This window comes from Homo sapiens, chromosome 14 (genome assembly GCF_000001405.40).
Source record: "Homo sapiens chromosome 14, GRCh38.p14 Primary Assembly".
Lineage (NCBI taxonomy): Eukaryota > Metazoa > Chordata > Mammalia > Primates > Hominidae > Homo > Homo sapiens.
In genome coordinates this window covers 105,168,801-105,181,877 of record NC_000014.9, presented here as the reverse complement: position 1 = coordinate 105,181,877, position 13,077 = coordinate 105,168,801, and the positions used below count along the sequence as shown (strand labels likewise).

The following is a 13,077-nucleotide window of genomic DNA, read 5'->3' as shown; positions in this document are numbered from 1 at the left end:
CCAGCCACCCTCGCCACCAGGAACCTCGAGGGGAGGCCCCCTCGGCCCAAGCTCTGGCCCCTCCAGCTCCCTACTCTCCTCTCCCCTAGCTTCCTTCCAGGGCCCTCTCTCTTTGGTCTCCTGTGATTTTCTTCCTGGGCCCACAGTCCCTCCCTCCCTGGGGGGCTGCCCCGCCCCCGGCCCCGCCCGCGGACCCCTGGAGTAACTTAATCTCGGGGTTGTGGTCCATCCCCAGAGTGGGGAGGCATCCGCTCGGCCCATCGCACCCCAAAGCTGCAGGCCCTTAGCTCCAACCACCGCCAGGCCCTCCCTCCCCCAGCCAAGAGGTCCCGAGTCCCACCCAAGCACTGTACCCCGGCCCGGCTGGCCCCGCCCGGCGGCCGGGGTCGACCCGGCCAGTCCTTCCCCCGGGCGACGCCCACGTGCCTGCGCGGCTTCCCTGGCACCGCGGCGACCAGCGCCCCGAGGCGCGCGGCACCCGACAGGTGGCACCTGCGAGCCCCGCCCACCTCGGCCGCCCCGCCCACCTCGGCCGCCCCGCCCCGCGCGCCCACGGAGCATGCTCAGAGCCGCGGTCACGCGCCCGCCCGAAGGCTCCTGTCGGGACAGGGCGCCGCCCCGTGTCGGCCCCCGCAGAGCTCGCGGCCCCCGCCTGTCCGGGCGCCGCCATGGAGCGCATCGAGGGGGCGTCCGTGGGCCGCTGCGCCGCCTCACCCTACCTGCGGCCGCTCACGCTGCATTACCGCCAGGTGAGCCCGCGCCCCCGCGTCCCCCGCGCCCCCGCCGGCGGCCCGGCCCACGACCCGCGCCCCGCCCACCATCTTCCGCGCTGCCGGCCCCGCCCCGGAGCCCCGCCCCCGCCTCCCGCCGATCTCCCGGGCGGCCGCTTGTCCGCCCGCCGGATCGCGGGTTCCCAGACCCAGTGAGCCCCCAGGCCGGGGAGGGGCCGCGGGAGGGACATCTGAGGGGGCACCACTCATCCTTTCAAGGAAGCATTGCTGGGCCCCATCCTTCCCGCCCGCCCAATCCGACCCTCTTGGCAGTGGAACTCCTTGGTTGCCCTGGGGATCAGGGAAGGCTTCCTGGAAGTGGTGGCTTTCATGCTACCACTTGAAGGAGGAGATAGCTGGGCCGAGGAGGAGGGAGCAAGGAGCGCAGAGGCCGGGCGCAGGGAGGTAGGAGAAGGAGCTGAGTGAGAACTTGAGAGAGCCTCTCAAAGCAGGCTTCCTCCTTGGGGTTTTTTCCAGGGAGGGCACCTCCTTGGAGTCTCCATCTGCCTAAGCTCAGCCTTCCCCACCTCCTAGGGTGTCACCTTCTCCCATGCCAGGCCACGGCACAAGAGGCTGTATTGCCTCACTTAGCACCAGGCACATGGTAGGTTCACAAGGAATATTTTGTTTTGTTTTGTTTTTGAGACAGGGTCTTGCTGTCGCCCAGGCTGGAGTGCAGTGGCATGGTCACAGCTCACTGCAGCCTCAACCTCCTGGGCTCAAGCGATCCTCCTGCCTCAGCCCCCGCCCCAGTAGCTGGGACCACAGGTGCACACCACCACACCTGGCTAATGTTTAAATTTTTTTGTAGAGACGACGTCTCACTGTTGCCCAGGCTGGTCTTGAACTTCTGGCCTCAACCGATCCTCCTGCCTTGGCTTCCCAAAGCATGGGGATTACAGGCATGAGGCATATGTGTTGGGTGAAGGAGCTGCTGCCATCCTTTTCCCACATCCAGTGGATCACTGAGTCCCGGGCCGTCTTCCTCCAAGCCCAGCCCTGTCCAGTTAGGGCCCCACCTTTTGCTTGCATGCCCACCTGCCCCCAGCAGATCTCCCCTCTGCCAGAGCTCCTTCATGCCATTAAGGCAAAGACCACCTTCCTGGTCACAGTCAGTCCAGCCCCCCAGCCTATCAGGTCAGGTGGTCCAGGTCGCAGTGCCTCTCTGCCTGCCTGCCTCCCTCCCTCAGGGGGCATCCTGTCCCCCCCATCACATCCAGGACTCTGCCCCTCGCCATCCTGGAGAAGCCCTCTTGGCCCCCAGCCTGAGAGAGGCCCTGTGCCCCTCACTTTCCCTGTTGCGGGAGTCCTGTTGGCGCTGGAGGACAGGGGATCCCTCTCCCCAAGGCGAAGCTAAGCTGGTGGTGCTGGCAGGGGGCAGCTGGGATCAGTCGGGGTACAGCAGGTGGAGACATGGGGTCACTGCCCTTTTCCCTGACGTTGGCCATATGGGATGCCTGCTTGTGGCTGCACAGTCCCCACAGGGCTGGGTCTCAGGCAGCAGGTGCAGGCCCAGGCAGGTGCCCTCTGTGGCCCTGGTGGCAGCACTCTCTCCCTCACTCCCCGTGAAGCCTCAGGGCAGCCCTTGCAGCCTCAGCGGGCAGCCCGCCGGCACAGCTCTGCTGAAGGGTTCTGGTGACCAGAGCTGAGCTGGTTCGGGCTGTGGCTGTGGTGGACACGGATGTAGGCTCGGGCTGGGCGGCATCTCCTCAGGGCCAAGGGACATTGGGCTGGACGCTGGCTGCCACCCAGGGGCAGCTGCAGCCCTCAGCTTTTTGCTGCGTCCAGCCAGGGGAGGCCTGTGATGTCAGGCAGACCAAAGGCAGGGGACCCCCGTGGCTCCGAGGCGATGGGGTCTTCTTTGCACCCAGCCCTGCCCCTCCCTCCCAGGCCTCAGCAGCCTCCCTAAACCTCCCTGCACCTTGACCTGGCTGGACCTAAGGGTCTGACACGCTTTTGACCTTGAGCTGAGAGGGTCCTTGAGACCTGCATGGGGTGATGTTACTCGGGGGGAAGCAGTGGTGGGGAAGGGGCATGGGCACAGCAGGCACATGGCAGGCTGTGGGCAGGGGGCTTCCCTGGAGCCTGCCCTGGCTGGGTGGTGGTTCGGGGGTGGCTGGGTGTCAGGCAGGCCTGGGGTCGCCTCCCGGGAGTGGTACCCCACGGCCTCTCGGGCTGCCTGACCTGCGCGGGACGCCGGCCCTCCCTTCCCTTGGAAACCGGTACTCTCCTCCCAGGACGCCTTTGCCTCCCGGCCAAGCTCAGAGGGCCTCTGCGCCTCTGCCTGCCCAGAGTCCCTTCCCTCACTTCCGTCACCTCCTCCAGAAAGTCCTCAGGAAGGCTTCTTCTCTCTTCTGCAGTCCTGGCTGCACTTCTGTGTCTCTGCTGCTCAGACCTCTTGTCCATTTCACAGCCCTGGGCAGAGCCCCCGGTGGGGGATGAGCAGCTGGCCTGGGCCTCAGAGTGGCAGATGGGCTGAGCGTGCCGGAGATGGGACCCCGCGGGACCCCAGGCTCAGCCCCCAGGATGGGAGTGCATCTCAGAATGCATCAGTTCCAGCCTCCCCCAGCAGGCCCAGCCCACACACCTGCCCACCCTGCCTCCTCCGTTCACTGAGTGCCACCCAGGGTGCAGGGGCCTGCCAGGGTGGTGTGCCCAGTGTGGGGGAGTGGGAAGGTGGAGGGTGGCCACAGGAGAACGGGACCACAGGGTATGTGGGAGAGTCGAGGCCAGAAACTGGGGGTAGGGGTGTGTGGGGGGGCTGCCGAGCCTGGTCACCATCATGACAGTCACCGAGTCCTGCAGTGCGATCTCCTACCTGGCTGGGGCGCCACCCTTCCTCATCTGCTCCTGGTGCCAGCCCCTCCTGCCACCCTTCCCCATCCACTCCTGGTGCCGGCCCCTCCTGCCCTCCCGTCTCCACCTGTTCAGTGGCCCAAGGAAGCATCAGCAGGAAAACCTGACCTCTCCTCTGCCTGCAGGGCCCTCCTGCCCTGCTGTGAGGGAGTCACGCCTGCCCTCCCCGAGCCTCCATGAGCCTTCCTATACTTGGTGACGGTGTACGTCTCTCTGCAGCCCCTTGTGCTCGGTCTGTGCTGGGCAGTGTTTCATGAGGTGCCTGGACACCTTCCCTGCCCTTTGCCCTGGTCTTCTGCCTCACTCGTAGGGTATTAGGCTGTCCTTGACCTCCCTGCCCCTCCCAGGCTGCTTGCTCCTCTGCCCACGGGAGCTGCAGTTCCTGGCTCCCGTGGGCCCAGGCCACGAGCCGATCTCCCTGGTTAGGAGTGGGTGCAATGGGTCTGTGGCCTCCTCGGTTCCCCGAGCACCTCCGCCCATCCTGGGACATTCTAACCGCTGACCTGCCCCTTCTAGAATGGTGCCCAGAAGTCCTGGGACTTCATGAAGACGCATGACAGGTGAGAGCCTGGCCCAGCCTGGCCACTGGGGAAGCCCCAGACTGATGTCTACGGGGACACTGGGCCCAGGGCGAAGGTGCCCTCTCCTCCCTGACGTTGCTGTTCCCTGCGTGGGCTCCAAAAGTCCCTTCTCTCTGCCCGGCCTCTGGGTTTCCTATCCCTGAGGGGTCAGCCTGAGGCCTGGGGGCTGAGTCAGGTCTTTGCTCAGGCCACCGGGACCATGATGGTGGGCAGGCCCTCTCAGGGCAGGGAGAGGCTGTCCTGGAGCCTTTGCCCCTAGCATCCAGGGTCTGGGCTGGATGGCGACGTGGCTCGAGGAGTGTGGCTGGTGGGCAGCTGCTCAGTGAGGGCCAAACGTCCTGTCAGTCACCCGGCCTCAGCTGCGAGCACCCTGACCTACTCAGCTGCCCGTGTGTCCTTCCCTGCCCCCCGCCTCCCATCCTGCCAGCTGGAATACAGCAGGTCTGGGTCCTGGCCAGACTGTGACCCTGGAAAGCTCTGGTCCCGCCTGGGCCTCAGCCATCCTATCTGAGCAAGGGGCCTGACCTCCCTGGGCTGCTGGCAAGGAGGTGGGATGGCCACGCTGGGAACAGAAAGATGGGAGGTGGGGCCCCACGAGGGCCAGTGGAGTGCTTCTGTGCTGAGCCCCTCCCCCCGTACACAGCGTGACCGTTCTCTTATTCAACTCTTCTCGGAGGAGCCTGGTGTTGGTGAAGCAGTTCCGGCCAGGTGAGGCCAGCTGGGGTGGGAAGGGGATCTGCAGGGTCACCTTCAGGTCCCTGTGGTCCTGAGGGTCTGAATACAGATGTGGGAGGGGGCTCCAGGGGAAGCTGAGGCCCTGGGAGGGGGCTTGGCTGTGTGGGTGACCTGGAGGTGGCCACCACGTGGCTGTGAGCACAGTCTGGCTTCTTCCCACGCAGCTGTGTATGCGGGTGAGGTGGAGCGCCGCTTCCCAGGGTCCCTAGCAGCTGTAGACCAGGACGGGCCTCGGGAGCTACAGCCAGCCCTGCCCGGCTCAGCGGGGGTGACAGTTGAGCTGTGTGCCGGCCTCGTGGACCAGCCTGGGCTCTCGCTGGAGGAAGTGGCTTGCAAGGAGGCTTGGGAGGAGTGTGGCTACCACTTGGCCCCCTCTGATCTGCGCCGGGTCGCCACATACTGGTGAGTGGGACCAGGCCCTCAGGCCTGTGGTGTGACTCAGGAGATGGGAGAGAGTGAGGGCCCCGTCCCTGGGAGTGTGCAAGCAGGATGGATTCCTCCTTGTTTTCCAACATGGGATTAGGGGAGGGTTGGACCGAATGCGCCTCAGCTCCTAAGCCAGGCCAGAATCTGGGCTCTTGGGGCTCTCTCTGCAGCGTCTCGGCCCCATGCCCCCAGCCTGCGGCCCCCAGCTGTGTGAGGCAGGCCGGGTGACAGCTGCTGCTGACAGGTGCCTCTACTTCCTGTAGGATTAAGACCGGGCGCTGGGGGTGGGGGTGACTCACAGCTCTGTTCTCAGAGGGTGGCTTAGGAATGAGGGAGAAGCTGTGTCCTGGGCTGGAGAAGGGGTGGCTCCAGCTCTCCTGGGGAACAGGCACTAGAGCCTGCGCTTTGGGACCTGACCCACCAAACTCGAGGCACCAACTCTTGCCCCGCGAGGGCTGCCAGCTGGGGTGGGGTTGCCTTCCCAGGACTAGATGTTGGTATGAAGCCCATCCACTTCCCCAGGGACGCTACGATGGGCTCCTGACCCCAGCTGAGGTCTTGGGGAAGGAGGAGGGTGTCACAGACCCCCACCCCCACCAGCTGAGCACCAGCCTCCACAGCCTCCTCCAGAGGCCAGGGCCCGCTCCACTGGGAGAAGCACCGGAAGTCTCTGCACCTGTCAGCCTGGCACATGGGCCACTCAGGGTTGAGCCTGGGGCCCTCCCACCTCAGCAGCCTCAAGGACTTCACCTGGGCACGTTCCTGGCTGGATGGGTGGACTCCCAAGTTAAAGGCAGCATTTCCACGCTGGGCCAGGCACGGTGGCTCACGCCTGTAATCCCAGCACTTTGGGAGGCCGAGGCAGGCGGATCACCTGAGGTCAGGAGTTCGAGACCAGCCTGACCACATGGAGAAACCCCGCCTCTGCTAAAAGTACAAAATTAGCCAGGCGTGGTGGCAGGAGCCTGTAATTCCAGCTACTCAGGAGACTGAGGCAGGAGAATCGCTTGAACCCAGGAGGCGGAGGTTGCGGTGAGCCTGAACCCAGGAGGCGGAGGTTGCGGTGAGCCGAGATCGCGCCATTGCACTCTAGCCTGGGCAACAAGAGCGAAACTCTGTCTCAACAAAACAGAATTTCCATGCCGAAGGGTGGACTTGGGTGTGAAGGATGGGCCTTGGTTTTCTGCAGGTGTCTACCCCGTGGTGGGCCACGCCCACTGTGCCCCCAGCTCCCCAGCCCATAGTACTGAGCACAGCCGGGAGGCATGGGAGGGGCTGGAGTCCCCTTGGTCCCCCTGGAGGAGGTGGGCCTGGGCAGGTTCCTGGCAGAGGGACCGCACAGGCTCTCAGGGCAAGTGGTCAAGCAGCCCTGGCCGCGGTGGTTCTACTGGTACAGCCTCTGGGCCACAGCCTGATTGTGAGGGTGCTGGGGAGCCAAGGAGGGCTCTGGGAAGTAGGCATCCTGCTTAGACTCGCATCGGGAAGAGCAGGCCGTGGCTTCAGGGATGCAGGACTGGAGATGCTGCTGACTAGGGGTCAGGGTGTCCGTCTCTGAGGGCCTGATGGGGGGCTGGACTGACAGCAAAGTTCACCCACCCTGTGGCAGGGCCCGTGGCTCCCTGTCTCTGATTCTGGAGGTGAGCCAGGCCTCTTACCTGCCGCTGCAAAGGACAAGGCCCAGGGAGGCAGTCAGCTTGGGGCGTGATGGAGTGAAGTTGGAACGTGCCCTGGGGTGGGGGAGGCGTTGCCCAGCCTGGCTGGCAGATTCCTCTCAGCCCGGGCCAAGGGCCGGGCCTGTCTCCTTCACAAGCCGGCGGAAACCGGGGCTGGAAACCCCAGACCCGCCACTTCCCTCAGAGGCGCAGCCGCGGCCGCCGCCGGAAATGGGCCATCAGGAAGGGGTCTGCGGGAGGTGAGGGGCTAGAGGGCAAGGAAGCAGCTGGGTAAGGTCGGTCTGGGGTGAGTCCCCCCGGAGGTGGGGAGGCCTTGGGGGTGGGGCATGGAAGCCCCCAGTTCTGTCCCTGCCCCTGTATGTTGGGTACATCTCAGAGGGCGGCCTCTACCCTGCAGGCCTCCGGCTGGCCTTGGTTCATGGCACCCGACAGCCCCTCCTGCGGCGAGCCAGGGCTCCCCCACCCCCTGGTCATCTTCCCAGATGCCCCTCAGTCCCGTTTCTCCCCAGATCCACACCTGGCCCTCCCCCTCCTGTTCCAGAATGCAGCCCAGCCCCTCTGCCATCCTGTCCTCCTAGCCCGTGGTCTCCCTCCACACACGCCAGTCCAGGCTCCTTCCCTTGGTGCCTGACCCCTCCTGGCTGCCAGCAGCCCCCTTCTGGCCACTGCCCACTGAGGGAGGGGGCTTCCTCTTACCCCTCCCCAGCCTGGGCCACTGGGCCTGGTACTGAGGACCTCGCTGCCACCCCACCCCACTCTGCCATGCTACGGGGGGTGGGGGGGCGGTCAGTGCATGCTGTTCCTAGTCTGAAACTTGTGTCCTGTGGGTGCCTGGTGGGGAACCCTTGCGGGAAGGCCTGGTGGGTTTGTCCCTGCTTCCCAGCCAGCCTGTGTCCCCGGGTATGGGCTGGGGTCTGGCATGGGCCTCTGCAGCTGGCCACAGACTGAGGGGCTCCAAACAGCACTGGGAACAGCCTCAGGGTATCTGGTTGGGGGCTGCAGACAGGGGTGGGGTCTTCTGCTTGGCCTTGACAGGTTGCAGGCAGGTTGTCAGCCGGATCTGCAATCTCATGGGGGCTTGGGGTCTTCCCGGCTCACGAGGTTATGGCAGAATTCAGCTCCTGGTGGCTGGGGACTGGGTCCCACCTCCCTGCTGGCTGTTGGCCCTTCCCAGCATGGCGGTTGCTTCCCCTTCAGGGCCAGCAGGACTGGCCTGAATTTCTCCCTTTCTGGCGTTGAAACACCCTCTGGAGGGCTTCGTGATCGGGCCATGCCCGCCTAGGATGCTCTCCCTTCTGATGAGCTCAAGTCACCGGTTAGGGTCCTTAATCACATCGACAACACCCACCCCACCTGGCGAGTACAACGTGATCAGGGAAGGGATGCCCTGCTGCGGGAGGGGCCACGGGCGTGCACACCAGGTGGGAATCCGGGTGGGAGAGGGCATCCCAGAGTCCTGCCTACTGGAGGGCTGGAGGGAGCAGAGTGGAGAGGGTGGGTTGGAGGGTGGTAGAAGGGCCAGGGGGCCAGCGGGGCCAGCGTGGGTGACTCAGCAGACCCTGTCTCAACCCGTAGGTCTGGAGTGGGACTGACTGGCTCCAGACAGACCATGTTCTACACAGAGGTGACAGATGCCCAGCGTAGCGGTCCAGGTGGGGGCCTGGTGGAGGAGGGTGAGCTCATTGAGGTGGTGCACCTGCCCCTGGAAGGCGCCCAGGCCTTTGCAGACGACCCGGACATCCCCAAGACCCTCGGCGTCATCTTTGGTGTCTCATGGTTCCTCAGCCAGGTGGCCCCCAACCTGGATCTCCAGTGAGACTCCAGGGTTCTAGACAGAGGCCAGTCTTGGCCACTCACCCCACACCCCGCGGACCCCAATAAAGGCTTGCATAGCTCCAGCTTCTGCCTGCTGGTTCTGAGCTCTGTGACCAGGGCCTTGGAGAGGACTGGGGAAGGGGCGGGAAGCAGTGACCCTGACCTGAGATGGCCCTCGGGACACGGCGAGCTCTCCTGTAGGAGGAGTAGCTGGTGGCAGGCCATGCAGGTGGTTGCTGTGGGGCTGAGGACAGGCCTGGGGATGCCATGGGCAGGGCCAGGCTGTGCCTCCTCTTGGAGCTGGGAGGGGTGGGGTCCGGGACTCATGGAGGGTGGCATGGCAGGCCTGGGGGTGGGCCTGCTGGTCACGGGGCTGCAGCATGAGCTGTGCTCACGAGAGTGGTGGCTGAGCCAGTCCTCAGGAGTTAGGATGGGGTGGGCAGCACTGCAGGCTGCACGCTGCAGGGAAAGTATGTTCCCTGCTCCTGGGGCAAGTGAGGGGTCCCCACCCTGACTGGGGCTGGGCTAGAGCCACTCCACAGGAGCCCGGAGCCAAAGCTGCCCTGTGTCGGGGGCCCCAGTAGCTGATCCGTGCACCCCCAGCCTTGGAAGTTTTCCAAGGGACCTTCCTCGGCCTGTGGGGTATGCAGAAATGTCTGCAGGCTTGCTCCAAGAGGAGCAGGTGGCGGCACAGGGTGGGGACACAAGGCCAGTGGTCTTGACATGGGCCAGGTTCCTGGTGCCAGCCCGGTCCTGGTCCCGGGGCACGGCCTCAGCCTGGGCCGCCCAGCACCAGGCTCTACTGGCCCCTGAGCATCTCTGGCCTGTATGCCCTGGCCTTGCCTTCTGACCTGTCCTGAGGGTGGGGCTGTGGGAGATGCGTGCAGCTCAGAGCTGCTCCCCAGGTGCCCAGAATGCTTGTGAGGCAGGAGGGGACCCAGCTCGCCTGGTCTGCTTCCTGGGCCACAGGTGCACAGTAAGGGTTCTGCAGGTGAATGGGTGTGTTGGCACTGGTTGTGGGCATTCGAGGGCACTGCTGGGCCATCAGTCTGCGGCAGGATCGATCCGCTCCTGGACATCATTAGGTCCAGGCTGTGGCTCCCAGGAGGAAAGTAGAGAAGGGGACAGTGAAGTGAAGGGAGCCTCAGTACCCTGCAGGGTGGAACCCTGGGCAGGGAGGTGGAGACTGACCCCCTGTTGTCATCCAGCACAGTGCTGGACAGCCTGGCATTGGAGGCTGTCCTGAGGAGGCTGTGCCTCAGGGGCCCACAAAAGCAGTGCCACCTGTATGCAAATGCTGGCTGTGGCCCAGGTGGGGCCCTGTGGGCATCAGCAAGGCCAGCGACAGGGCTGCCGGGGAGGGGCTGTCAGGTATGGGGTGTGTGCCAGGGAGGGGCTGCCAGGTATGGGGTGTGCGGGTCTTGGCCAGCCTCAGCTTCACTCTACCCAGATGAGGCCCCAGCAGGACATTCACAGGACAGGAGCTCTGCCTGACCCACAGCAGCCTTGCTGTGCTGCCCTTACCAGCAGCCTGCCTGGTGACACCACGAGAGTGCGATGGGCCCTCCGGGTTGACCAGCAGAGGCCTCCCACTACCTCAGAGGGACCTCTCGCAGGCACCAGGTGGGTCTGGCCCCTGAAGCACTGAGGGGACAGGTGACAGGGCACCCGGACCTGGGTGTAGTCCAGCCCCTCACTTTGCTCCGCAGCCCGATGGGGTGGGTCAGCAGGCAGTGCTGCCGGGCCTAATGGAGCTGGCATTGATTTCCCGGCACTGGAGGGGGGGTTGTAACCGGAAACTCCCCTCCCCGTCTGCTATATTTAGCACTGCAGGACCCAGCGGAAGCACAGCTTACTCTGGAGCCTCGCCGGCTCTGTCCAAACCCCTGGCAGCCCGTCCTCAGCCTGGTCCCCAGGACTGCCCTATGGGCCCAGAGCCCCTGGCCAGGCTGAGCAGCTGCACCCTTGCCCTCTGCATACAAGCTGGGCACCGCCCAGCGCTCAGAGTGGGAGCCCTCCAGGCTGGGGGACGGGTGGCTCTGGGAGGCTGGAGGGTGCTGTGGTCCAGTGGGCCCCAGAACAATGACGAGGTCCCTTACTAGAAGAGACCAGGTAGCCTGGTCTGGTGAGGGTTGGGGCTGGAGCCCTGGCCGCCACTGATCTCAGCCCCTCACCCCAGCAAGGTGCAGCAGGGGGCAAATGTGTTTTGTGAAATATGTATGAGGGGCGAGGGTTCCCACTGCTGCCTTCTGGAAACTCAAACCAGGGTCCAGCTGCCTGGCATTTCTGGCTCAAGGGCTGCTGAAATTCCTGCAGGGAAGGGACCCCCTCTCCGATGCCTCCTATGTCCCCCTCCTTCCTAAGGGCAGGTGCGGCCACCTTCCTGACCTGGGTGCTCTCATGGACATCGTGAGGTCTGGCTGACCCATGCCCGTCCACGCTCTGGCGGCCCCCTATGCCAGCTTCTGTATGACTTGTCTAAGTCCTCTGTCCACCCCCGGGCTGGGGGCTCCTGAGGGTGTGCAGGGGCGGAGTCTCCCTTGTTCACCACTTGGCCAAGTGCCCAGCAGAGGCACCCAGCACCCCCTCCCCCACCATAGTGGGGCAGTGGGCGCAGGTGGGGATGGAGCCCTGGGCCTCTGGAGCCGGGCAGGGGGCTTCTCTGTCCTGGGGCTTCCCTCTCTCGAGTACCCGAGTACCTGCCCCCAGGCCAAAGCACAGGAGAGGTGGCATCTCCACAGGGAGCCCCTCCCCCCGTAGGCGGTAATCACCGCCCACACACCGGAAGGCGGCAACTGGAAGGCTCTGAACACAGCTTGGATTCTCTTGTTTGGTGGGGGTCTCTGTGCGGGCCTCATCCTGGCTTGTGTCTTAATCCCCACGAAGCCTACCCACCACCAAGTTTGGGGTGGGCACTCTGAGCAGAGCCAGCTGAGGTGGGCATGGGGGGCTCCCACCCACCCCTTTAGGGACCTTCAGCTGAGCCTGCGGCCTGGATCCTGGAGGAGCTGCTAAACAGGGATGGAGCAGGCAGACCCTGCGCATGGGGTGTTCACAGGCCCTGTGCCTCCAAAGCTCTCTTCCTTCAGCCCTCAGCCCCAGCAGCATGGTGGCAGTGACTTGCTCCAGGCTGGGGGGCTGCACAGCCACCCAGCTCCGGGCACAGGGCAAATTTGCGAGAGGAGCTAGGGGGAGAGAAGACAGCTCAGTTATCATGGGGATGGGTTGAGGACCCCTCTGGACCATATGGGGATCTTTAACCACCAAGGTGACCCCTAGCTCTGGAAAGGACCGTGCTCACTGGAGGAGAGGAAGGTGCCATTGGTTTTGACCCTGTGGAGGAGCTGCGAGGTCACCCAGGGAGAGGGCAAGGAGGTGACCGCAGAGGATGGGGTGTGGAAGCCTGGTGACCAGGGCAGCAGTGGGAGGCCTCTCTCGGGGTAGCCTTCAGGGACAGGCACTGCCGACTTTTGTTCCCCATTTCCCGCCTCTCGCCCCCCAAGCCCAGACCTGAGTTTGGGGGGCGAGAGGCGGGAAACGGGGAATGTGGCCTGAGCATTTCCTGAGGGCATGGCCTGGCTACCTCGACGCCAGCGCCGAGCTGAGCAGTCTGCACCCTGGAGCATTTGTTGACTGGCTGCTTGACCAGCGCGCCTCGCAGAGGGGAAGGCAGGGGCGTCGGAGGGGCGCAGCGCCCCCTGCAGCCGGCGTGGAGGCGGTAGGAGCGGCGCGGAGAAGGGGAGATTCTCGGAGGAGGTGGGGGGCGCGCAGTAGGGGCTGGGCCCGGCTCTGGCCCCAGGGCCGCGCCACCCCGCGTGGGGGCCGAGCCCTGATCAGAGTAGGAGGCGGCATCTCCTCTGGGACTGCGAGGAGCGCGGCGGTGGCGCACTGATGGGAGGGGACCACACGGCAACCTCGGGGCGCCCCACCCCCGGTTTCTGACACCCGGCAGGAGCCCAGGCGGAGGAGGGGAGGCAGCTTTGCGGCGCCGGCGCACGCCTCGCCGACTCACGCGGAGGTGTGAGCGGGGCCCCCGCGGCCCGCGCTGACCCCGAGGCCCCGTGCCCCCGCCGCCCGGGCGCCCTGGGGGGCGCGCGCCGGGCCGGGGCGCTGGCAGGCGACGCCCTCCACCGCCTTTAAAGCCTGGGGCGCCCCCGGACCCCCCCCCGGCCCCACCCCGCGGCGCGGCCCCGCCCCCTCATGCATATGCAGGTGCGCGGG

At 65.4% G+C, this 13,077-nt stretch overlaps 1 protein-coding gene across 2 annotated transcripts, besides 2 other annotated features; it reads left to right on the top strand.

Moving 5' to 3' along the window:
- Window positions 397-866: a silencer, noted in NCBI's record as "silent region_6221". NCBI's record gives its function as "represses an Ori minimal core promoter by ATAC-STARR-seq in GM12878 lymphoblastoid cells {active_cell/tissue: GM12878}" and the evidence as "EXISTENCE:reporter gene assay evidence [ECO:0000049][PMID:35858748]".
- Window positions 566-8,939, top strand: NUDT14 (nudix hydrolase 14). Of its 2 annotated transcripts, none has more exons than NM_177533.5 (5): window positions 566-749; window positions 4,143-4,186; window positions 4,851-4,915; window positions 5,107-5,344; window positions 8,617-8,939. In NM_177533.5, exons 1-5 carry the CDS (start codon window positions 669-671, stop codon window positions 8,855-8,857), a joined length of 669 nt encoding a protein of 222 aa, NP_803877.2. In that variant the 5' UTR covers window positions 566-668; the 3' UTR covers window positions 8,858-8,939. The 2 variants fall into 2 exon arrangements, with proteins under 2 accessions (NP_803877.2, NP_001305309.1); NM_001318380.2 differs by lacking the exon at window positions 8,617-8,939 and adding an exon at window positions 5,891-6,390.
- Window positions 10,396-11,232: an enhancer, noted in NCBI's record as "H3K4me1 hESC enhancer chr14:105636983-105637819 (GRCh37/hg19 assembly coordinates)". NCBI's record gives its function as "activates a minimal SCP1, AML or CMV promoter by ChIP-STARR-seq in naive H9 embryonic stem cells {active_cell/tissue: H9 hESC(naive)}" and the evidence as "EXISTENCE:reporter gene assay evidence [ECO:0000049][PMID:30033119]".

Coding starts and splice junctions, on each gene's coding strand:
- NUDT14 (NM_177533.5), top strand. CDS start 669: ATGGAGCGCATCGAGGGGGCGTCCGTGGGCCGCTGCGCCGCCTCACCC. Junction 4,916..5,106: donor GGTGAAGCAGTTCCGGCCAG/GTGAGGCCAGCT, acceptor CTTCCCACGCAG/CTGTGTATGCGGGTGAGGTG. Junction 5,345..8,616: donor CGCCGGGTCGCCACATACTG/GTGAGTGGGACC, acceptor CTCAACCCGTAG/GTCTGGAGTGGGACTGACTG.